The sequence below is a fragment of the Homo sapiens genome, chromosome 2 (assembly GCF_000001405.40).
Source record: "Homo sapiens chromosome 2, GRCh38.p14 Primary Assembly".
NCBI lineage: Eukaryota > Metazoa > Chordata > Mammalia > Primates > Hominidae > Homo > Homo sapiens.
In genome coordinates, this window is record NC_000002.12 from 197,235,654 (window position 1) to 197,260,733 (window position 25,080).

At 39.5% G+C, this 25,080-nt stretch overlaps 1 protein-coding gene and 1 long non-coding RNA gene across 18 annotated transcripts in view, besides 3 other annotated features; both read right to left on the reverse strand.

Moving 5' to 3' along the window:
- ANKRD44 (ankyrin repeat domain 44) overlaps window positions 1–25,080 on the reverse strand; it is a 343,767-nt gene that overhangs the window by 268,640 nt on the left and 50,047 nt on the right. The window lies entirely within an intron of this gene.
- Window positions 4,007–4,056: an enhancer, noted in NCBI's record as "active region_16921". NCBI's record gives its function as "activates an Ori minimal core promoter by ATAC-STARR-seq in GM12878 lymphoblastoid cells {active_cell/tissue: GM12878}" and the evidence as "EXISTENCE:reporter gene assay evidence [ECO:0000049][PMID:35858748]".
- The window catches only part of ANKRD44-IT1 (ANKRD44 intronic transcript 1), a 51,662-nt gene continuing 41,786 nt past the window's right edge, over window positions 15,205–25,080 (reverse strand). Inside the window, exon 6 of the long non-coding RNA NR_046837.1 lies at window positions 15,205–15,339. This is a non-coding gene — a long non-coding RNA (ANKRD44 intronic transcript 1). The remainder of the gene's footprint in view (window positions 15,340–25,080) is intronic.
- Window positions 20,286–20,942: an enhancer, noted in NCBI's record as "OCT4-NANOG-H3K4me1 hESC enhancer chr2:198120663-198121319 (GRCh37/hg19 assembly coordinates)". NCBI's record gives its function as "activates a minimal SCP1, AML or CMV promoter by ChIP-STARR-seq in naive H9 embryonic stem cells {active_cell/tissue: H9 hESC(naive)}" and the evidence as "EXISTENCE:reporter gene assay evidence [ECO:0000049][PMID:30033119]".
- Window positions 21,059–21,358: an enhancer, noted in NCBI's record as "active region_16922". NCBI's record gives its function as "activates an Ori minimal core promoter by ATAC-STARR-seq in GM12878 lymphoblastoid cells {active_cell/tissue: GM12878}" and the evidence as "EXISTENCE:reporter gene assay evidence [ECO:0000049][PMID:35858748]".

Here is a 25,080-nt window from a genome sequence, read left to right on the forward strand (position 1 = left end):
TGCCTTCTAGAAACTATAAAAACAGCTGGGGAGATATATAAATAATACAATACAAATATTATACAATACAAATAATACAATACAAATATTATATACAAAGATATATAAATAATACAATAAACTAACAATGCAAAGTAGTCCATGATTAGGTACAAAAATGAATGGTGCAGACAATAAGTGCTCTAGAAGGAATTCTCAGTAGCAGTAAATTAAGGGAAGTAATAGCAAACAAGTCATTGTGATTAGGGCCCTCAGCATTGCGGTGAGGGCTTGAAGTGCAGAATTAGTTGATGAGTGCTATTTGTTATATAGTCATAAAACAGTAAATTCTGACTTTAAGAGACACCTGGACAAATGAATCTAAGCATAACTGCACACTTGATGGGAACAGGACCAGAGGAAATCGTGCTCCAAGAGATGAAAACCGGATAAATGCCACATAAAGATTCAACAAATGCCCAGGATCCCTCAACCCTACTCCTTCTGCAGGGCAAACAGGCTGCAAGGGACTTCTCTTCAAAGCCTTCTCAGAGGGATCAGAATTTAAGTTGAAAGCACTTCTCCTCTCCTGCAGCCTGACTGTGTGTAAGATACAGTCAAAAACTATCACAAAGCCCCTACTATGCCCTAGCTTCTAGTTAGAAGATAGGTAAAGAAGACACGACCTGCCCCAAAATCATCCACAAGTATCTGAACCACCCACTCAAACTGAGGCTGCCACTCACAGGTGTCCTGAACCCCAATTAGCAAATGGTAGAGCCCGGACTCATTTTAAAAAAAGGAGCAGCAGGAGAACATATGCACAGTGTATTTCTGTAGGCCAATAAAAAAGAGGGTGTTATGAAAGATTTCTTGTTTTTAACTTACTGCTATTATGTTGAAGCCTGCTCTGGTCTATGGGGCCTACTAGTTGCCTACTAGTTTCTTCTAATTCTATGGCTGGAGTGTTGCCTATAGATGCCTATTATAGAACTAGTTTCCATTTTCTTTCTCCATTTAATGCAAAAATAGTCTCAATCTAAGCCCAAAACTACTCATCTCTCCCTGCAACAAACTACTCAAAAAAAAAAAAAAAGAATAAAAGAAAGGAAGGAAGGATAGGAGAAAAAGAGAAATTTGACAGTAGCTACTGAGAAAAAGAGAATCCCCGTGCCACTTCAGTCCTGAGTTTGTATAATGAGAGCACACAGTGAGGGAGAAGGTCTGAAGGCTACTGTTTTTAGCTTACTCCCACAGAAGTGGCAAAGGCATATCTGCCTCCAGAAATATTAGAGGAAAAATGGGGAGAAGCAAGACACTGAGGTTTGTCTCTCACTAGAAGTCAAGAAAATAGGAGGAACAAAGTGTTCTTTGATGCCCTGGCAGCGGGGAGAGATGGCAATGGTGTAGAACGGAGCTGATGAGAGGCAGCATAGACTCGTTTTTAGAGCAAACTCGACTCCTTTAAGTCCTTTGCCGTCAACTGTCGATCTTGTATAATAGCCGACTGTATTATTTCTTTCCCTTAAGAATAGACCTTTGTTCTATAGAGTATTGCACCCTTGAATGTTTCAGTACTAGTTACTATAATTAAAAGAAAGGCACAAAATACTATATATGTTCAAAACAAAGATGAATCAATTATTAAATCATCTTTTCTAAGAACTCACCCATCTATAAATAAAACATGTTTGGAAAACAAATATTTTCCTGCCTCTGCTGTTTTTACTTTCAGTAGCATTAACTTAAAAGATACTACTTCAGCAATACTTTTCTCAAGAAATAAAACTCGCCAACCCTCTTGCTTTTAAGCTACACTGCTGAACTCCTTCTGTGGGATTGGACTCTGCTCAAGGGAACATGTGCTCATTAAAAATATTTCATGCCATTAACATTTTCACTAGAAGATTCGGAGTGTGTGATGTCTGTAATGCCGGCTCCATTCACACCCATTGTCCACCCCATAAACGTCTAAATGACAGCTAATATACAACATGTAAATCACTACAAAAGAGAATCGCGCACAGAAAACTGGCACCTAATTACATGTCCCAGAGCATCACTCCCTAAAATACAAAAGGTCTGATTGTTTTATTTATTTTGTGATAGATTTGGAATGAAATCAGCTCCTCTAAAATAATTTTGTCATGAAAGGGAATGTTTAACGCCTTACAAAAGTGACATCCTTGACAAGTCAGCTTGGTTATTTCCATGACTTTCCTTTCCATGCAGTGCACCAGTGCAACTTCCGGATGCCCTTCCACTCCTGAAAATGCTGCAGCCCCTCCCTTCTCAGAGCTTTGGTCCAGACAATTCCCTCTATCTAGAACATCCTACCCACCCTCACCTGATTAAATCCAATTCACCTTTCACATCTCAATTCAAAAGCTACTTGTGCAAGACAGCTTTCCTGACTAGCCCTCCTACCCCAAGTCTAGATGAGATTCTTCCGTTGTATGTGTTCTGGTAGCTTCCTGTGCTCATGTCACAGTTTGTACAGTCATTATATAACTGTGTGGTCCTTTCATTAATATCCATCTTCTACACCAAACTGTAAGCTGTGTCAAGACACAGACTATGCCTGTTTGGCTCACACTGGATTCCCAGAGCCTAACACAATGGCTGGCCTATAGTAGGCACTCATTACATTTGCTGAATGAATAAACAAACCATATCACATCCTGACACTCTACCGTAAAAAAAAATGGTCAGGTCAAATAAAGGCACAGTGAGGAAGATATTTAATAGAAAGTCTGTTCTGAACATTGCCTAGTCAACTGGCTCTACATACTATCAGCACTAGTAAATTGATTGTTCTCAGGTGAATCTGGTTGTATCTTGATCTGTGCTATGATGACAACCTTGACAAAAAAATCAGTCTAACCTAAGGGTAGCATAATACCATAGAAGGATTAGGTTCAGCATCATGTTACAGAAAACCCAAAATAACAGTGGCTTAATCAAGAAAGATATATATATATTTCTCCCTCGTTGTAAACAAGGTCTATAGAAGTTACCCAGGACTGGTATGGTGCTCGATGGTGATAAGGACCCAGGTTCCATCTATCTTTTTTTTTTTAATTTATTTTTTAGATGGAGTCTCACTCTGTCACCCAGGCTGAAGTGCAGTGGTACGATCTCAGCTCACTGCAACCTCAGCCTCCCAGGTTCAAGCAATTCTCCTGCCTCAGCCTCCCGGGTAGCTGGGATTATAGGCATGTACCACCACGCCTGGCAAATTTTTGTATTTTCAGTAGAGACGGGGTTTCGCCATGTTGGCCAGGCTGGTCTTGAACTCCTGACCTCAGGTGATCTGCTCGTCCTGGCCCCCCAACCCGCCTGCCCTGTACCCCTCGGCTGGGAGTACAGGCGTGAACCACCGTGGCTAGCCCAGGTTCCATCTGTCTTGCTGCTCCATTCTCTGTAGCATCTGCTTCTACTTCATGATCCACAATGGCTGCTCAAGTCCAGCAATCTCACCCAATTCCAGGCATCAGGAAGAAAGAATGGGATAAACAAGGGTAATGATCCCCATTTTGTGAAATTTCCACATAAATCCTCTTGCCAGAATACAGTCACAAAGGCATAACTGGCCAAAAGGTAAGCTAGAAAAAATTGTCCTTTTTTCTCTTTGAGACATGGTCTCAGTCACCCAGGCTAGAGAGCATGGCTCACTGAAGCCTTGGCCACCCGGGCTCAAGCAATCCTCCAACCTCAGCCTTCCAAGTAGCTGGGACTACAGGCATGAGCCACCATGCCCAGCTAGTATTTTATTTTTTGTAGACATGGGGTTTCACTATGTTACCCAGGATGGTCTCAAACTCCTGGGCTCAGCCATCTGCCCACTTTGGCCTCCCAAAGTGCTGGGACTGCAGGTGTGAGGCACTGTGCCCGGCCAAAAAAACAGTCTTTAATCCAGGAGAAACATAAATAACTTATAAAGAAAGGAAGATGATATTGGGGAACAGTCAGCAGTTTCTTCCACAGATTACTCAATGCAAGATAACCAACTGTCACTGAGTTCTGCAACGTGTCTTGGTTTTACTTTTGTTTTCTATCTTGATAAATTTTTGCAACATTTACACTGTCCCAAAGGCAGACTTAACATTTCACATTTTATAGACCTGCCAGTTCTATTGCATACCTTTCTTGCTTTAGTAACTAGTTTTTGGGAGTTTCACTATCTCAATGGATTTCATACTCTGAAAAACATAAAAATATGACCAGGTGAACACCTATGTAAAAACTAATGCAACCAATCTGCTTCTTCTCAAATGTCTTCAACGTAGATTTTCAATCAGATGAAGGGCCTTGCATTTTTCTGCAAATCTCTCTAATATATTCCCTTATAATATATGCATTTTTGGTCATATAATTTCTACATTTCCTAAAATAAGAATAGTTGAATTAATGTTTATAGAAGAAAATCTAGATATAAATATATATATATTCAAGAGGTAAACCAGGCATGATGGCTCACGCCTGTAATCTTAGCATTTTGGGAGCCAGAGGCAGGTGAATCGCCTGAGGTCAGGAGTTGGAGAGCAGCCTAGCCAACACGGTGAAACCCTGTCTCTACTAAAAATACGAAAATGAGCTGGGCGTGGTGGTGTGTGCCTGTAATCCCAGCTACTCAGGAGGCTGAGGCACGAGAATCACTTGAGCCCAGGAGGCAGAGGTTGCAGTGAGCCAAGATCGCACCACTGCACTCTAGTCTGGGTGACAGAGCAAGGCTCCAGCTCAAAAAAAAAAAAAAAAAAGAGCCAAGCCAAGACCTTCTTTTAAAAAAAACAAAAAGTTGTTCAGACTTCTACCACTAAGCTCTTGGCATTTCAAAAATTAAGAGAAAGAGCTGGGTAGGAAGCAAGATGGAAATCCCTAAAACTGTTCTAAAAACAGCAATCTAGTGACACTAGCAACAGTTGCTAGAAGCTTAAAGAAAACCTCCACAAAATTGCTAGAGATGCTTCCTCACTTGTTTCTAGCAAGTCTCTCTCTGTGGGTGACAATGTTGGTGCCCAGTTTAGATTCAGTGTCTCTACAGCAGTCTTGAAGCAAGTTTTTTTTTTATTAGCCACAACATGTAAGATTTTACTGTGAACAAAAGTCATCTCAGAAAGCCAGATCCAAGGACATGGCATACTAGATAATAACCAAATCTCACAGTTCGATAGCTACCTCCCCACTTCCCCACACCCCCAACACCCTCTCTTAAAAGTAATTGTCTGCTCTTTGCAATCAGGAAGTTCTACAACAACCCAGCCTATGATCAAAGGCCTCTCCATCAGCTTTCCCCAAATGCATAATCCACAGCTGGCAAAGTCTCAGAAGCATCTTACTGAACATGAATAAATTTGATTTTTGGACTGGGGGTATGCAAAATCTTGTAATGCAGCCCACAGTAATCATGCATTTTAAGTCTATTCCTCCTTTCCAGGGCACATCTTCTCTCTTTTTGGCTCTGCATCCTCTTTCTGAGGCCTACCAAGAGATCGGCCCTGAAAAATTAAAGGGGAATGTCCTATAACCAGAATAGACTCCCAGAAAAGCTAACATCTTAAAAGAAGAAAAGGAAAATAGAATTAAATTTGTCAAAGTATGAGGATGCTAATAAATTCTACACACACATACATACACAGAGGACTTAGTCGTCAAATAAGCTTAGGAAACACTGATTAAATAATGCAAAGGGTTTCTTTCTTGCAGACCTTCTCAGAGCCTTTAATACTGCCACTATGCATCATGGATCTCCAAGAGGGGCACAGTAAATAGATTTTCTACTTGAACTCTTGTTCACCAGAACATCTTATATTAGGCAAGCACTCTGTAGAATACTCATGGAAAAATGCTGGACTGGTAAGAAATATATCAAAATTAAATAGCAACTATCTTGGGTCCAGAAGTTTATGGTAATTTTAATTATTCTATTTCCAAGTTCTCTATAATGAACTTGTATTGCTTTTGCAATCTGGAAAAAGTTATGTAAAATTTAAAAAAAACATTTGAATCTATATTAACATTTTTAAAAATAAGAAGTTTCAGAAGGTAAGATTTTTCTTTTTTCTAAGAAGTAGAGGTACTTATTGTTCTTTAAGATTTATTATATGCCTCCATTGTGCCAGGTTTTGATAGTAACATGAGAATAAAAAGGAAGAATCATTTCAATGATTCACTACATAGTGCTGGTGGCCTGAAAGAGGAAAAGAAACTCTTTAAAGAGTTCCTCCTCTGCTAATAAATAAGCCAAAAACCTTCAAACATAATAAAAATACTTGTACAATATTAATCTTAAAAATACATATTACTGTGCTTTTCTTCCCAAACCATTTAAAAAAATCTCCCTTTAGGTTTAATGTCTTGATTAATCTTTTTTAAAATAGTCTATATATAAAAACTTGCTAGGGTGCATTATAAGTAAAACTTTATCAGTAGATCCTTGTTAAACTTTATTACTTATTATTTCATCAATTTATTGAATGCCTTTTATGTGCCAGGAAATGCACTATTATTGAAAAATTCAATGAAAACAGGTCCTTCCTCATGACTAGTTTATTTTAGTAGCTGATTATCTAAATAAATTTAATACCATTTACTAATTGATAAACAGTACAGAAAAGTTATAACAGATCTATGTAGCAAATATTTTATAATATAATGGTATTTTATAATATAATGGTACTTCATTTCAGTTTGATAATCACAGCAACTTGGACAATCTAGAAAAGCAAAATCAAATTTTAATTCTGGCCAAAGGAAAACCACGTTCAATATGCTTGATCCTAAGGCTCCCCACATTTCCAGTTATACCAGGTTTCTCAAAAGAGACAGGAGGAGCCAGACATCAAAGTCCATCTCCAGCCAACCTACAAACCACTTTCTTGCTAAAACATTTCTATCCCCAATTATAACCACAATGACTAGATTAAACTGGTATGGCCACCTCTCTAGGTTCACCTTAAAAAAAGGGCTCATCTTCTAACCTTACCAGGCTGTTCCCCCTATGGAATATTCTTAGGCAATGCTGGAATGGTCCCCGTCTTTCCAGCTGAGACGAAAGTCAAGAATGGTTAACAGGACACTCTAGTCTAGGAGAGTTGGGACTTGACTCACCTATCAAGAGAGGCAAAGGACATGCTTTTATTTACCTGGGCCTCAACACTCAAGATGAGACCAGAAAGCCTCAGAGTCATCTCTCTACAGCCCAAAGGGGAGAAACAGGGGAATTAAGTCAGGAAAAGCTCAACTGTCAGACCTGTCAGTCCGCCAGGCTAACCACAACCAGATGTAAGGGCCACAAATAGGCACAAGTTCCTTTGCTTCCAGACCTGGATAAAGAGATCACATTCTGTGACTAGCAACTTAATCGCTTAGGAAAATTATGTTGCCCTGCCTAATTACAGCTCTGCTGGAACTCAGTTTCTAGAAAGTGTTGAGATTTCCTCCAATTTCACTGAGCAAGTGCTCTAATGATTGCAGTAGATACACAGAATAATATTAGAAAAGCTCTTTATTTAGAGGAGTTTCCATGAATCAAATCAAAACAAAACAAAGTCCACCATTTTGAAGCATTTACTATACATATATGGTGACTGCATATGTAATATGTTTCTAGTTCATACTGCTGAATGTCTTAAGAAGTCACTATTCCAGCCAACAGCAGGAAGAAAGACTTTAAAAAAATAAAATAAATAAAACCCTTAAAGAACCTAAGAAACAAGGAATCCAATGTCACAGGAATACAGCTTTAGGACAAAAAAAAAAATGTCTTAAAGAGAAACTTGGGCCTGAACTCTACATTTTGTATGTGTTAACTGAATCCATGCTAATAAATTCAAGTGAGTTGGGCCTTCCTAAAACTAACATAATTAAAATATAACTGAAAACTCAGAAAACCTGTAGAGGACTATCTTAGTCCACTTGAGTTGCTATAACAAAATACCTTAGACTGGATATAAGGTTAACTTATAAACAACAGAGATTTATTGCTCACAGTTCTGGAGACTGGCAAGTCCAAGATCAAGGTGCCAGCAGATTTGATATCTGGTGAAGGCCTGTTCCTCACGGATGGCACCTTCTTGCTGTGCCCTCATGTGGCAGAGGGGGCAAACAAGCTCCCTTGGGCCTCTTTCATAAGGGCACAAATCCCATTCATGAGGCCTGAGCCTTCATGACCTAATCACTCCCAAAGGCTCCACCTCCTAACATGATCACACTGGGGATTAAGTTTCAACATATGAATTTTGGTGGGGACACAAACATTCAAACATTCAAACCATAGCAAGGAAGGACATAGGACATATGTGTGGGCTCCAATCAGGGGAGTTAAGAAATCGTATAGTATTATGAATAGACATTGAACTATTATTCTTCCACCCAGGAATGCAAACATAAGATGACATATGGATAAAAGTTAGCGAACACTCATCGCTGTCATCCAAAACAAAAGTATCAAAACCAAATACTCCTCACAACTGGGAGACCCATCTCAAAGCACAAAGAAATTCAACCCAACTTAGGTAGCTATAACTGGCAGAGGAAGCAGCTGCTACTAAAGTTTCAACTTTCTTAATAGCTCATGTCAGCAGCAACACAAAAGGTACAGTGATTTTTTAAATGCTTGGACAAGACTCTATTAAGCAACTACGTATAGTGTAATGGGAAAATTGAGTTAAATTTGTGCATCACAGAATACAATGGCAATAGAAGAAAGCCACTTCCCACCTTCTTATTAATTTAGCAAAGAAGAATGTGTCATCAGCCTCCAGACTGGTCAGTATATAAGCAGCAGGCAGTATTTTTTGTTTACCTTCCTGTCTTTCTGAATGATCACCCAAACATCCATTTACAGTGTTCCTAATATTATTTGCTAATATCATGTCTATTTATGGTCACCAACCACATGTTGGGATAGAATTGGTACAAAATACCATGTGTTTCATGTGTCAGAACTCATCTACCAGTTGAAACTGTTGCAGGGGAGATAGAAAAATGGAAGATGGGAAAAATCACAACATTTACAAAGACAGCTCAGCTTACGATTATTCACCTTCTACCCTATCAAATCTAACTAATGCCAGGCTGTGGTTTGACAATCTTTTAAAGAGAGCTGACTCTACATCTCAAGCAGTGATGCTAATTTTCTGTTTAGCTATGTATCTCCGTGTTCTAGCAAAATGACCTATCATATTCCATACATAGTAAAAGCATGTGTATAAGTGGGTGACCCTGTGGGTAGCCAATTTTGAATTTACAGTTGGCCCTCCATATGATGGGTTCTGCATCTGCCATTGGTTTAATTCAACCAACCGCAAATCTAAAATATTTAGGGAAAAAAATAAAAAATAATAATACAATAATAAAGGCCGGGTGTGGTAGCTCATGCCTGTAAATCCAGCACTTTGGGAGGCCAAGGTGGGTCCGGATTTTGAGACCAACCTGGCCAACATGGTAAGACCCATCTCTACTAAAAATACAAAAATTAGCCAGGAATGGTGGTGCAGTCCTGTAATCCCAGCTCCTGGGGAGGCTGAGAGAGGAGAATCACTTGAACCCAGGAGGTGAACATTGCAGTGAGCCGAGATTGTGCCACTGCACTCCAGCCTGGGCAACAGAGCAAGACTCCATCTCAATAATAATAATAATACAAATAAAAAGATATAGTATAACAACGGTTTACATAGCATTTACATTGTATTAGGTATTATAAGCAATCTAGAGATGATTTACAGTATATGGGAGAAAGTACATAGGTTATGTGCAAATACGACACCATTTTATGTCAGGGACTTGAGCATCCCTGGATTTGGATATCTACAATAGTCCTGGAACCAATACCCCATGGATACCAAGGGACAGCAGTATACATACTCAACTTAGTTTAAGAAAACATATGAATATTCTGATTTACAAAGCAGATAAAATTGAGGGTACTCATTTACCTTACATAATAAAAAGGCCATTTGCTATAGTCTTTTCCCACCTAAAGGGGAAGGGAGAAACTTAACAGCAAAGCTGTTTGTAGGGTTATTTTTCCTAACAGTGGTACAAACTGCCTGTCCCACGGAATTACCATGAGGCCACATTCCTTATCTCTATGTATTACTCTATTACTCTAAAACCTCTCGCATTTAGGGAAAATTAGAAGGCCAGGAAAGTGAATCAAGACTGATCAAATAAAAGCTCAACCTAAATTCTTTCAGAAACATTCCAAAAACTAAGAAGGAAGAGAAATAAAATATATTCCCTAATACAGTTCTCAGCTATCATGTAAACCCTTTTACCAAATTGAGAGTAGAAAACAGATAACAGGAAAAGGGAGGGGTGAATAAGCAGTTGAACTCTATCCCAGTGCTTCATCCCTAATGACCTGCTGTGTCCCCAAACCAGAAAATGACATCAGAGACATGAGCACAACATGGCCACATGAGTCCTGATGAAGACCAGGCTTTGAAGAATGAAATGTAAGGAAGACATGGGGTGACAGAGGAGAGTCCTCCTATAATCCCATGAATGACTGTGCCCTGCCTACCTAACTCCTAGATTTTTATTTTTATTTATTTTATTTATTTATTTAGACAGTGATCTCACTCTGTCACCCAGGCTGGAGTACAATGGCAGCAACATAGCTCACTGCAGCCTGGAATTCCTGGGCTCAAGTGATACTCCCGTCTCAGCCTCCCATGTAGCTAGGACTACAAGTATGCACCACTACATCTGGCTTTTTTTTTTTTTTTTTTTTTTTTTAGAGATGGGGTATCGCTGTGTTGCCCAGGCTGGTCTTGAACTCCTGACCTCAAGCAAATCATCCTGCCTCAGCCTCCCAAAGCACTGGGATTACAGGCATGAGCCACCTCACCCAGCCCCATAACCCCTGGATTCTTAAATCATTCTGCCCAGCCATCCCTACAATGGGACCTTGAATTCCCAGGTCCCTGATGCTGCCAACCATCTCGCTTACACTCAACAGTCTTCCCAACCCCCTATGCAATCTTTTCCCATTGTAGCCACCTTACCCTGTGTTGCTGCTAGATTTATCTTCCTGACACACATTTTCTACACTTAAAACACCTACAGTCATTCCCCAGGATCAGTCACTACTCGGAGTGACGTTCATGCATTCCCTCATTTCATCCTCACTATAACACTATGAGGTACGTACAATATTATTGTTCTTTCCATTTTAGAGATGAGGAAACTGAGGTACAGCATGGTTGGCAACTTATCCAAGATGACACAGCAAGGAAGCAGCAGAGCCAGAATTGGAACCCAGGTGACCCAACTTCAAGCCCAATATTCACACTCCCCATGTTCTAATGTCAACAAAATAAAATCCAAACATTCGAGCCTGGCAACCAGGTATCTCTGTATCTTTCCAGTCTCGTTTCTCTTTCTTCCCCTTTGTTCCTTCCTTACTACCTAGGGTGATGCTGTCCATGTGGTTAATATGGGTTGACTGAATGAATGTCCAGGCTAATGAACGAGCAGTCAGTTTTTATTTCATTCAAGCATGGTCCTTATTTGCAATGTCATAGAAAAAAATTGTTTCAGCTTCTGCTCAGGAAGTCTCATCTCTGAACATGACGCCAGGCAGCAAAGAGATCGCACGAGAACTTATTAGGTTAATTATTCATCTGCTCACTGTCAGTAAGGGCTTCCAAGCAAGGCAGCGCTAACAGATCTGCATCCCAGATGTGTAACAAGTCACATTGGGTGGGGTAGCTGGGCATAGGTTGCTGAAATATGGCTTCCCAGTCCAGGAAACAGATTCCTTACAATGTACCCTTTTGTTCCCTGAAAGAAAATTTAGCAACCCTGTCATAGGGAAATCACATTGACAGAAGTCCTGGGTACTTAGAGAGCAAAACCAATTCTTCTATATAAATTAGGCTTTGTCCAGTGGCAAGAAGTGGGATAAAATCAAAACCCAAACTTAATTTGTATCGTGCATGAGAGGACACAAACCATTTACACAAAACTTCTCACATAATTCCCATAGCAATGGACTGAGGCCATATTATTCCCATTTGGCTGATGAGGAAACTGAGGTTTAAAGATGATGGGAACACCCAAAACCACACAATGGAGGCAAGACAAGAACCCAAGGCTCTCTCCAAATCAGGCCCAAGGGTCCCAGCTGTGAAGAGTGGTCACTTTCTACAGTCTCTTCCCCACACATACAGACTCTGTCATGATAGAGGAAAGTTCTGCTCAGTTCAGACCAAGAGTCCAAACTAGGCTGGCTGAGGAATGGAGGAGCCCAAGGTGAAGCGGGAAATGGCTGGGGACAGGGCTCCCCGTTGGACTTAAAGACACTCACTCCAACAAGTGTGTGCAGCAACTAATCACTAGGGACACGGCCTCCCTCCTCATCATTCCCCTTCCCACCTCCACCCTCCATCCCAAAAAACTACCCAAGCAGCACAGAAGCAGAGAAAAAGAAAGTAGCAATATCCACACTTGTCCCTCCTGGCTGCCTGCCTACTGCTGCTGCAGGGACAGAGTGCAAAACGCAATTATCTTTAACCTGGTTCGCTTTATGTGTCAAATTGGAGAGGGGTTCTGGATAAGATTAAATTTAAATGAATGAACTTTGGGTGAAACAGGTTGCCCTTTATAAGGTCGGTGAGACTCATCCAATCAGTTAAAAACCTGAATAGAAAAAAAAAGACTGGCCATCCCAAGCAAGACGGACTTCTCCAGCAGACTGCCTTGGGAGTGGAACAGCATCATCAGCTCTCTGGGGACTAGAGCCTGCTGGCCCACACTACAGATTTGAGATTTCCTAGCCTCCATGATCATGTAAGCCAGTTCCTTACAATTAAAAAAATTATATATATATATTCCTTATAGTTCCTCCGTGATCATGTAAGTTGATTCCTTATAATTTAAATACATACTTATATATATTATACATATATGTATATGTGTGTGTGTGTGTGTGTGTGTGTATATATATATATAAAGAGAGAGATTGAGAGAGAGAGGAGAAAGACATAGAGACATAGATATAGCTCCTATTGGTTCTGTATCTGTGGAGAACTCTGTCTAATGCAGGGACCAACTTGCTATGGAGGACTGCTGTGGGAACTAATCCTTGCTGCAAACATAGGAGGCTCTCTGGGGAGACGAGGGGGAGGAAGTCAAAGCAGGGGTAGCATGCGGTGTCCATGTGGCAGGAGATACTGAAGTATGTGTAGTTCAGGAAGTGGTGATGGTGGGGGTGCTGGAATTGAGTAAAAGTTTTGTTTAGGGAGAACTAATAGTTTTAGCTATGCATGAAGAAAGACTCTTGAAAATTCTGTAATATATAAGAAAAGTGTGGTATACAGCTGATCTTGGTTATGAAAATCCCACTAGCTGGCCGAGTGAGGTGGCTCATACCTGTAATCCCACACTTTGAAGGCTGAGATGGGAAGATGGCTTGAGGCCAGGAGTTTGTGACCAGCCTGGGAAACACAGTGAGACCCCATCTCTACAAAAAAAATACAGTAATTAGCTGAGCATGGTGGTGCACACCTGAAGACCCAACTACTTGAGAGGCTGAGGCTGGAGGATCGCTTGAGCCCAGGAATTCCAGGCCAGAGCAAGCTATGATTGTGCCACTGCACTCCAGCCTGGGCAACAGAGTGAGACCTTGTCTCAAAAAATGTACAGAAATAAAAAAAGAAATTTTTAAAAGAAAATCCCACTAGAAAACACATTTGACAAGTAATTTTTATCAAGTCACTAAACCTTCTTGAAATAGGGCAAGATCGGTATTATTAAAGAGGAAGAGCTTCCCAGTTTTGCTCTACATGTGGGAGAATGTGGTGGCCACCAACATACTTTTATTCAAACAGTACACTGGGAAGCAAAAAGTTTTTGTAACACAGACAAGAAAATACACAACATCTTATTTATTTTAGAGATGTAATTTCAGCAAACACACTCAATAAAACACATAATCTCCTCATCAGCTGCACTAAAGTTTATTTTTAAACAGAAATTCAAAATATTTAAGCCATAATCCTATCACAGCTGCAGGAGGATCGTCAATGTAGAGTTATAGGTTTACATTCACTCTCACCAAAATGTCTTTCATTACAGCATTTATTTTGAGAATATTTATCATGTTGATAATTAAAGCAAAAAAGTCCATCTACATTTTACTTTCATTATCAAAGTAGTTTTCAAAGAAGCGTCTAGGTTTAAAATACATAAGACAGTTATTAAGATTAAAATTTAAAAGCATGTAATGAAAATCTTAACATGGAAAGTGAAAGGCTAATAGAAGAGTGCTGACTTATTCCAGAAATCATAATCTACTCATGAAATTCTTTGTGGTGGCATAATTTTAAAATTGCATTAGACAATGACAGTCTTATCAGGCAGGGTGTTTTCAACTGCAAATAACAGAATAGCCAACTAAAATTTGCTTAAGCAATTTGGACATTTGATTTATCTCTCTTAACAAAATCTCTAGAGGTAGGTGGTCCTAGGCTCAGTAGGTCAGTGACCAGGTAGTTCAGTGGCTTGGTGATGTCATCGTAGGTCCAGGCTCTGACCATCTTCTCGCTCTGCCAGCCTTGGTTGTTGGCAGCCATCTCCTTGTGATTGCAAGATAGCTGCAGTAACAACACATCATCACACAAGGATGTCCAAAGCAGGAAAGCTGGGGCCAGGGAGAGGTAATGGGTACATATCTCCCTGCACCTGTTTCTTATAAGGGAGGAATATCTTTCCCAGAAGACCCCAGTTGACTTCCATGAAGTCTCATAGACCAGAACAAAGGCACACGCTCACTTCCAACCAACTTGTGGCAAATGGGAATAGGACTGCCACTAGCAGAGAAGCCTTCATTCATTCATCCCGAGGCTGGCCACACCGCAGCTGAATGCCTGAATAAAACTGTGGTCTGTTAGCAAGGAAGAAAGTGTGATGGGCAGTTAAGAGTGCCTCCCAAATGTAGGTGAGGAATAATAGTTTATATTGTTGAGCACATCTAGTACCAGGCACCTTACTATACACCTTATGTGCATTCTCTCATTTAATTCTCACTAGCTAGAGGCCATTATTATCTCTATTTCTCAGATGAGGAAACTGAGGCACAGAGTAGTGATACAGTTTCTCCAAGGTCTACACCCAGATAAGTGGTAGAAATAGGATTTAAATCCAGACAGTCTGACCCCAGAGCCAGCTAAGAATTTACATGGGTAACTGCAAAAATGTAGAAGCAGAAAAGACAGGTGACAAAGGCTACAGAATTCATTTTGGGTGGTAAGTTAGTTAAAGGATGGTAAGTTAGTTAAAGGAGAAGAGTTGTAAAGCCCTTCAAATTTCAGATGAAACACATCTCTCTTCACCCATCTTCACTGCATTATGCTAAGAAAGAAGAAAAACTCTTGTTAACAAGCTTTATACTTTTTCTTTTAAAATGTATTTTATTTATTAACAATATATTTTTAAATGTTTTTTAAATTCACATATATTGCTAAAACCATAACAAAGATGTTTATTTCTTGATAGGTCTTTTATGTATTTTATTATAATACACGTATTTACATTTTACTATGCTTTTTTCCAAACCTTTTTATTGGTTTACACTGTCTTTCTGAATATGTTTCTGAGTAGCTTAAAAACATTCCATATTTTGTCTGTTGTTGTCTATCCAAATTCTTTCTCATTTATCATCATCGAAATAACAGCACAATAAATATCTTTGTTCTTACAGCTTTTTTTTCCTTTAGAATAAATTCCAGGGAGTGGGTTACTAGGTCAAAGAGTCTGGACAATTGTGTGACTTCTTACATCCACTGCTAATGTGTTCTCCAAAAGAACTGAACTAATTAACATTGCTGCCAGAAATGTAAGAATATACTCGTTTTCTGATATCACATCAGCTTTGTTTTATTTATATTTATATTAGTTTAATAGCCATAAAATGGTTTCTCATTATTTTCTTCCTTCCATTTCTTTGATTTGGAGTGGAGTGTTTTTCTATAGGCATGCTTGCAAGTATTTCCTCCTTTGAAAAATCTGTTCTTACTCTTTGCCCATTAATCTTTCTGGATCTTGGTGCTGTTGTGATTCACATATTTCAAAACAAAGTTGGCTTAATTTTATTTCTGCAAACTGAATGCAGACTGAATGACTGGTTCGTCTAGACTTACACTTGGGCGGACCCAAATTCCAGCTTGTTTCCTCAACCTCCTAAATTTCAACAACTGAGGCATAAATGTCAATCTTAGCTATAAAAATATGAAAACGAAGGTTTCCACTACTTATTTTTTTTCTTCAAAAGACATACTAGGACTGCTATATTTGAAAATTCTAAGAGTAATATTAACGTTTATGCATCAGTCCTTGTTTTCATAAGCAACTACACTCTCTAAATGAAGAATTATTCTTTCAGTATGGGAACAATAGCCATGATAAAATATCTTTTGTGTCTTTATCCTAAAATTGCTAAGTACAAAATCAGAGGGGGAATAAAGCAGTATCTTCAGATTTTGTTTTGCTTAAATAGGAAAAAAACTCCTTAAAATAACACATACACTAAAACTATTTAATCTTTCAGCAAAAAAAAGAACAGGCATTGGTATACAAACACTTTTGGACTCCACCACTCTGCCTGTTATCTATTTCTGTTACCTAAATATTTTTTCCCAAACCAGAATCCCTAAGAGAAACTTAAAATACAGATTCCTGCTCCCCGCTACCCGCCCCGCCCCGCCCCGCCAAAGGTCTAACAAATCAAAATCCTTAGGGTTGCATCCTGAATATATATATATGTAATTTTTTTTTTCTTTTTTTAGACGGAGTCGGAGTCTCTGTCGCCCAGGCTGGAGCGCAGTAGCGCGATCTCGGCTCACTGCAAGCTCCGCCTCCCGGGTTCACGCCACTCTCCTGCCTCAGCCTCCCGAGTAGCTGGGACTACAGGCGCCCGCCACCACGCCCGGCTAATTTTTTGCGTTTTTAGTAGAGACGGGGTTTCACCGTGTATAACCAGGATAGTCTTGATCTCCTGACCTCATGATCCGCCCACCTCAGCCTGTCTCACGCCAGGCATAAGCCACTATATTTTTTAAATATTCCCCCAAGTGTTCAAATATTTTAGCTGCAAAATTCTCTTTTTAAACTAAATCTTTATAAGAACCATAAGACTAATATTTATATTGATTTTTAAATGCTGCTAGGCAAAAGACCTGTATTTACTCTTGCAGTGCTTTGAAAAGAGTTTCTGAAAGATAATTTACACCCTTAATTAATCCTTTACCTAAAAAAGAGTAGAGGCCAGAAACAAATATTTTTGACTTTTTATAGTACCTGACTGCTTTAAAAGCTCTTTGTAAGCTGACCGTAGGCACAGATCACGTGGCATCCACTATCAATACTCATAAGTCTAATTTATCCTCAGGATGTTCCCTGAAGTATTCAGGAATTCTTAGTCCTATTACAAAGATTTTGTTGCTGTGATAGTGGTTTTGTTTGTTTATTCAGAAAAATAAAAGTCAAAAAAACAGCTCCTGTATAACGATGGTACAACCATGAGTAATTTTATTTTTTCAAGCTTTTCTTTAACGTCTTGAGGAAATGATTTTTATACTTCAGGGAAAATTAAAAGGGGGTCATTAAAAAACCTGGTGGCATTCCCAATTTATCTACTGATGGCTTTTGAATTCTTCTCACTGTCAGTTAGGAGACTGACATTATCTCAGTCATTAAGATTATTAGAATCTTATTCTAGGATATCAATAAACATAGTGGATAGTTTATTAATGTATTCAATAATGTCAATGTCCACATTATCCTACTGCTATATATTATCTACACACACACGTACATATTCCACATACGTCAATAAAAATAGTAGGTGGTTTAATAATGTCTTCAATAATGTTGATTTCTGCATTATTCTACTAATATGAATTATGCTATATATATTTATTGCATATATATGTAGAATATACATATAAAAAGAAACCTGTAAGAACTTGAGACCAGAAAGATATTAATGTAGACATCTCCATATGTCAATTCTTTCCTAACTCTCCAAGATATTCCCATGTAGGTGTTTAAATCACAGAAAAGTACTTCTGCTGGAATCTCACCTAGGTAAAGAGAAAGCTCTGCAGTTAGTTTTGTCTTCTTTCTGTGGCCCAGAAAAACAAAGTCATACTATGTGAAGTGGGCTATGAGGAGATACAGACAGGCGACTCTATGTGGGCTGCAAGTGAAAGAGTTAACTATTTACAAGCCCACTGATGCCTCCAACACTGGCTAAATCTCATTATTCTGCCTTATTCCAGAAACACACTCATAATCCGCACAGGGTTCTTGAAAGATTACACTAACGTTTCTTAGCCCAGCCACCCACAATGGGAGTATTCTGTACACAATTCTGTAATACACAAGCAGTGAATCTTCTGGCCTCACGTAACTAAAACAAGAAAAATACTCAATAACTCAACATGGTATCATGCTAAACTTCCAACTCCAAGACGAGGCACGGTGGCTCACGCCTATAATCCCAGCACTTTGGGAGGCCAAGGCGGGCAGATCACCTGAGGTCAGGAGTTTGAGACCAGCCCGACCAACATGGCGAAACCCTATCTCTACTAAAAATACAAAAATTAGCCGGGCGTGGCGGTGGGTGCCTGTAATCCCAGCTGCTCGGGAGGCTGAGGCAGGAGAACCTGGGAGGCGGAGGCTGCAGTGAGCTGAGAAAGCGCCACTACACTCCAGCCTGAGCAATAGAGCAAGGCTCCATCTTAAAAAACAACAACAACAAAAAAAACTTCCAACTCCAGCCTGTAATTGGCCAGAAATGTCAGTACTTTCTGAACTATCCTACCAAAGTGTCCTAACAGCGGAGGAGCATCTCTTAAATACAAAATTAATTATTCTCCCTTATGGTTATCTTTAAAATTCTTGCAAATGTTCTACCTTAGTGTGTGTGTATATGTGTATAGACACACATACATGCATACACACACACACACACACACACACACACACACATATATATATTTGCTTTAATATTAAAATCATGTTTCCTCTAAAAGTAGGGGGGAAATTGATACTGTAGGAGTATGTTCCACCTTACTGTGTGTGTATATGTGTGTATAGACACACATACATACACACACACACACATATATATATATTTGCTTTAACATCAAAATCATGTTTCTTCTAAAACTAAAGGGGAAATTGATACTCTAGGCGTATGTACTAGTTGTACTGTGGCACTTCATCATGTCCCCAGAGGGGTGCACACCTATCAGATTAACTGCCTTTTCCAAAATGCTCTCCTTCCATCCGTGAAACACATCTACAAATCAAGTTCCTAAGAGTTATTTGTCCAAGGTGCTGCCCTGAGGCCCAAGGCAATAGTTAACTGAACCAGAGAAGTATTCAGCTCAGGGCAGCCAAGGAGATTCCCTGTCCAGAGAATGTGAGAAGGAGATGAAGAGTGAGGGTCAGTCTCTCTTTGGCTGAACCTGTAGCCATATGTTCCACAACTATGGTCCAAGAAGTTGGAAAGGCGGTCTTTAGAAAAGGAAGGAATGAAGAAGACACTCAGAGAGAAGCAGACACCAGAGGTAGGATGGGAATGCTGCCTGTTCCTCACAGAGCCCTGTCTATGGGGTTACGCTTCCTGGGGCTGGGCTCCCATCATTTGGAAGCTCAGCTTCCTGAGTAGTCACCTCAGCATACACAGAACACTCATGTGAGAAACACAAGCTAAGTGACAAAAAAAGGCAGGCACAATAGAGCAGCCTGGGGCCTTATTCACCAAGAGATAAATCACTTGCTGTGGGCACACCCCAACTCTGAAAGAAAAACCAAATTAACAACCGTGCAAGCTCCTATTTGGATATAAGCTAGGTATCCCTTCTTTTCTAGCAAGAAGGAATAAACCTAACATGACTTGCATTAAACATCATAGTTTTGGAATTGAGAATCTGTAAATTGTAAGTTATGGCCCCAAAACAAAAGAAGAACTACAGGCCTGCCTGTGAACTTCCTTTTTTCTAGGCTGTTACATGCTTTGCTGTTGCCACTGACAGTGTGGTAAGAGGCGGCCCCCTGGGTTTCCCCAGCCAGGCTGCCCCATCGAAGGCAGCTACACAGCGGCCAGGACAAGCCAGCCAGAGCCAGTAGGGCTGGAGCCCTGACAAAGGCAACGACGCTCCTGGAGTCAGATAATGAAAGCCAGAGCAGGAAGGACCCTGCGCTTCATGTAAGACGTTCACCAAATAAAGAAATGTTTAATCACGCATCTGTGCTGTACATTGCAGGAGCCTTTGAAAAGCGTAATGCCTGGGTGCAGTTTAAAAATAAGGAATCTTAATCTATCTGGTCTAACTTTAGAAAATTGTTTGGAGGGGATTCTTAAGATACTCTGAATTTATACTTTCTTAACAGGGGCTGTCTTTTGTATATGTGGTTTGTGAGAAAATGTGTGATTGATCTGTAATTTGAGCCTCTTTTCAAAGCTTATAGTATCATTGGATTCAAACCATTTTCATTTAATGCTCTAGATGGCAGAACACTAAGACCTAAGCAATTAAAAAGGGAAAGATTTCAGATAATGAACTAGTTTCTAGTGACTGTCCAACAGTGGACCAGGCTCATTTCTAAATCACTAGGTGTCTAAACTTGACAACAGTTAAAACTAGATCCCTAACTGTCAGGAGCATGAGTACAAAAGATTCCTGCTGTTCTATGATGTGTTTCTGACTATGTGTCTTTGAAAGGCCTTTCAACTTTAATGCTCCAAAATTTAGATGTTCTCCATATACCAACGGCTTTATAAAAAGTAAATGTAAGCACACAGAGCCAAAAGACAACTTGAACACAAGTTATCTACATCAAAGTAACAAAACCAAAGTGCATTTGTCTTTACACCAGGAAATAAATCAAATTGAGACAGATGAACAGGAAAAAAAATATGTCATGAACCTGAAGTTAAACATCTACTTTTCAGGCTTGAATTTTTAAAAAATACACTTCTAAGATTCTTTCCCAAGAAGGCTTCATGTATATACAAATACATTAATCCCCCTTAGAATAGATTTAAAACAAAGGCCTTGGTGTTTCAGAAAATGGCATACAAAAGGGGAGGATGTAAGGCCCTGTGTATAAACAAGTCAAGAGGCTCGTATCCTAAGCTAATCGCTCCTGTGCAATGGGAGGCAGCCACATCACCCTAGTCCAGGACTTCCATGTACTCCCAGTAAATTGTAAACTGTCCTGTAAGGGGGCTTCAGCCTTCTCATAGATCACAGATCAAAGACCAAGTCTATAAAGAGAGAGGAAGAAGAAAAAAACTGTATTCATGCTTTGGGTGCCTCAGGAGGTACAGAAAAGAGAGAAGTCAGTTGATGTCTCCAAACCTCTACAAGCAGCTCATCTTCAAAAAAAAAATGGAAGAATAGGTGAAAACACCAATCCAATCCCCAAGAAGAAAGCACTCTCCTTGCACAGGTTTAGTGTTTAAAATTTCAGGTGCCTGAGCTTAAGCAGATTCCAGGACTCTCTTGGAGGTGGCAGCTATCACTGTGTAGGATTTCTTTATAGTAAAGGTGATTAGCTCTCTTTCAGATCATTTTGCAAAGGAAGTCAGTTGGACAAATGTGAGTACCATGTAGACCCACCTGGGAAAGCTAAATATTTACCAGTTCAGTTTGGTATGACAGTAGTTTTTAAGAGGTATTCTTTAAAAAACAAATTAAAAGCACACAGAAACACAGAAGTTTTTTTTTTTTTTACTTGATTAAAAGAATCAACAGGCAGTAACAGTCAGCTTTTTAGTGATTATTATAAAACTTCGGGGAAAAAAACAATCATGACTTTCTTCAGTTCCTTTTTCTTTTATTTAGTATCTTAAAACAATTCAATATTTTTGGACAAATTTTTTATTGTGTAAAGTATACATAAAATTTACCATTTTATAACTAAAAGAGTATAATTGGATTATTTGTAACACAAAGGATAAATGCTTGAGGGGATGGATGCCCCATTCTCCATGATGTACTTATTTCACATTGCATGCATGTATCAAAACATTTCATGTACCCCACAAATATATACACCTACTATGTACCCACAAAAAGTAAAAATTTTTTAATTTACCATTTTAACCATCTTTAAGTGTACAGTTCACTGGGATTAAGTACATTCACATTATTATACAACCATTACCATCATTCATCTCCAGAAATTTTTCCCTAGCCCATACTGAAACTCCGTGCCAATTAAACAATAACTTCCCATTGCCTCCCCCCTTTATCCCTGGTAACCACTATTCTACTTCCTGTCTCTCTGAATTTGACTACTCTAGGTACCTTATATAAATGAAAATCATACAATAGTTGTTCTTGCATCTGGCTTATTTCACTTAGCATAATATCTTCAAGTTCAGCTATGTTGCAGCATGTGTCAGAATTCCCTTCCTTTTTATTTTTTCTTTTTATTTATTTATTTATTCATTTATTTATTTTTGAGATGGAGTCTTGCTCTGTCACCCAGGCTGGAGTACAGTGGTGTGATCTTGGCTTCCTGCAACCACTGCCCCAGGTTCAAGCAGTTCTCTTGCCTCAGCCTCCCAAGTAGCTGTGATTACAGGCATGTGCCGCCACACTTGGCTAATCCTTTTTTTTTTTTTTTTTTTTTTTTTGTATTTTTAGTAGAGACAGGTTTCACCATGCTGGCCAGGCTGGTCTCGAACTCCTGACCTCAAGTGATCCACCCACCTTGGCCTCCTGAAGTGCTGGGATTACTTTGGGAATTCTTTACTAGGCCAGAATTTCCTTCCTTTTTAAGGCTGAATAATATTCACATATATCACATTTTGTTTATCAATTCATACGTCATTGGACGTTTGAGTTGTTTCCATCTTTTGGTTATTGTGGATAATGCTGCTATGAACATGAATGTACTAATATCTGTTCACCTCTCTGCTTTCAATTCTTTTGGATATATACCCAGACGTAGGATTGCTAGATCAAATGGTATTTCTATATATAACTTTTTGAGAAACCACCACACGGTTTTTCATGGCAGCTGCACCATTTTACATTCCCAACAGCAAAGCACAAGGTCTTCAATTTCCCCACATCCTCACCAAGATTTGCTATTTCTGGTTTTCAGATAGTCACACTGATGAGTATGAAGTGGTATCTCATTTGTGGTTTTGACTGGCATTTCCCTAATGATCAGTGATTGCTCCATTTTCTTCTAAATGGTGTTGCAAAATGTGTCTTCTTGTTTTGTTTCAGTATCTCTTTCTGTAGGATAGAAATGTAATGCTTGCTCTGAGTAGATATTCATGAAGTGCTCTGGGAGTTCTGAAGAACTTCCAACACACTAAAACTAAGAAGCCAGGGATTCCGTTATTCAGGTCTCAACCACCTACCAAATCTTGCAGCCTAGACAGAAAGACATTGCCAAGTTTCCTTCTAGGCTCTTAAAGACTAGGTAAAGCAGCCTTAAGCACAGTCCTCCTACAAAGGCAATAATGTAAGTTTTTATTGTCTAGGAAGATTAATGAACTGGGTGAGTAAACATGAAAAGCAGGATGGTCCCAGGACTCTAGACCCAGGGATGCAAATTTGGGCCATTGAGTCCAGCATTGCAGCTCCTACCAGAGGCCTCCCCTGAGTAGCTCCTGCTTACTTATATACATCTGTGTCCCCCTCCCAGAGCTAAACACTAAGAACACAACATAGCAACAGACTCAACCTTAAGAATAACTTTGTAAACCTAAGAAACAAAAACAAAGTTACTTGGAAGATATGGGAGTTAAAAATCCAGTTTTGAGACAGGTCCTTGTTAAATTCCCCCGATCTAGGTTCCTCTTGTCTAGCCCACCATGATTTCCCAGACTTCTGCAGATAATCTCTTTCCCTTCTGCATCTAAGCTGATCCAACACTCCTTAGGCTGCCTGAGAAAACTTCACTTTCAAATCTTTTCTCCTTTTTGTTAAACTGTCGTCCTCCAACTCATAGTCATTAATTCAACAGCCAACAAGCATATGCCGCAGACTCCAACGTGCCAGGTGCTGAGCTTGGCACTAGAGACACCATGATGAATAAGACCAGGCCCCAGCAGGAAGGACTTGCTGTAGAGGGAGCCTGCCTTCTCTAGGTTCTTACTTTATCTAAAATGCTAATGTATCTCCTGGGGCATATAACCACCTTTTGGTCATCTATAGAGTCACTTGCTATAACTCATTGAAAAGAATATGGTTGAGGAGTTTCACATTTGTGTGGGATTCCCATGAGTGTGACTGTTAATTTGAGGGGGGAAAAAAAAAGAAAGAAAGAAAAGAATGTGGTCCAATAAAGAACACAGGCTATACTATCTTATATGACCTTGAGCAAAATCACTCATCAGTGGCCTTGCCTGAAAAACGGTAAGACTACTTTTCCTAGAAACAGAGACCTAAACCAAACAATATTTTTAAAATTTTATTATTATTATACTTTAAGTTTTAGGGTACATGTGCACAACGTGCAGGTTTGTTACATATGTATACGTGTGCCATGTTGGTGTGCTGCACCCATTAACTCGTCATTTAGCATTAGGTATATCTCCTAATGCTATCCTCCCCACTCCCCCCACTCCACAACAGTCCCCGGTGTGTGATGTTCCCCTTCCTGTGTCCATGTGTTCTCATTGTTCAATTCCCACCTATGAGTGAGAACATGTGGTGTTTGGTTTTTTGTCCTTGTGATATTTTGCTGAGAAGGATGGTTTCCAGTTTCATCCATGTCCCTACAAAGGACATGAATCATCATTTTTTATGGCTGCATAGTATTCCATGGTGTATATGTGCCACATTTTCTGAATCCAGTCTATCGTTGTTGGACATTTAGGTTGGTTCCAAGTCTTTGCTATTGTGAATAGTGCCGCTATAAACATACGTGTGCATGTGTCTTTATAGCAGCATGATTTATAATCCTTTGGGTATATGCCCAGTAATGGGATGGCTGGGTGAAATGGTATTTCTAGTTCTAGATCCCTGAGGAATCTCCACACTGACTTCCACAACGGTTGAACTAGTTTACAGTCCCACCAACAATGTAAAAGTGTTCCTATTTCTCCACATCCTC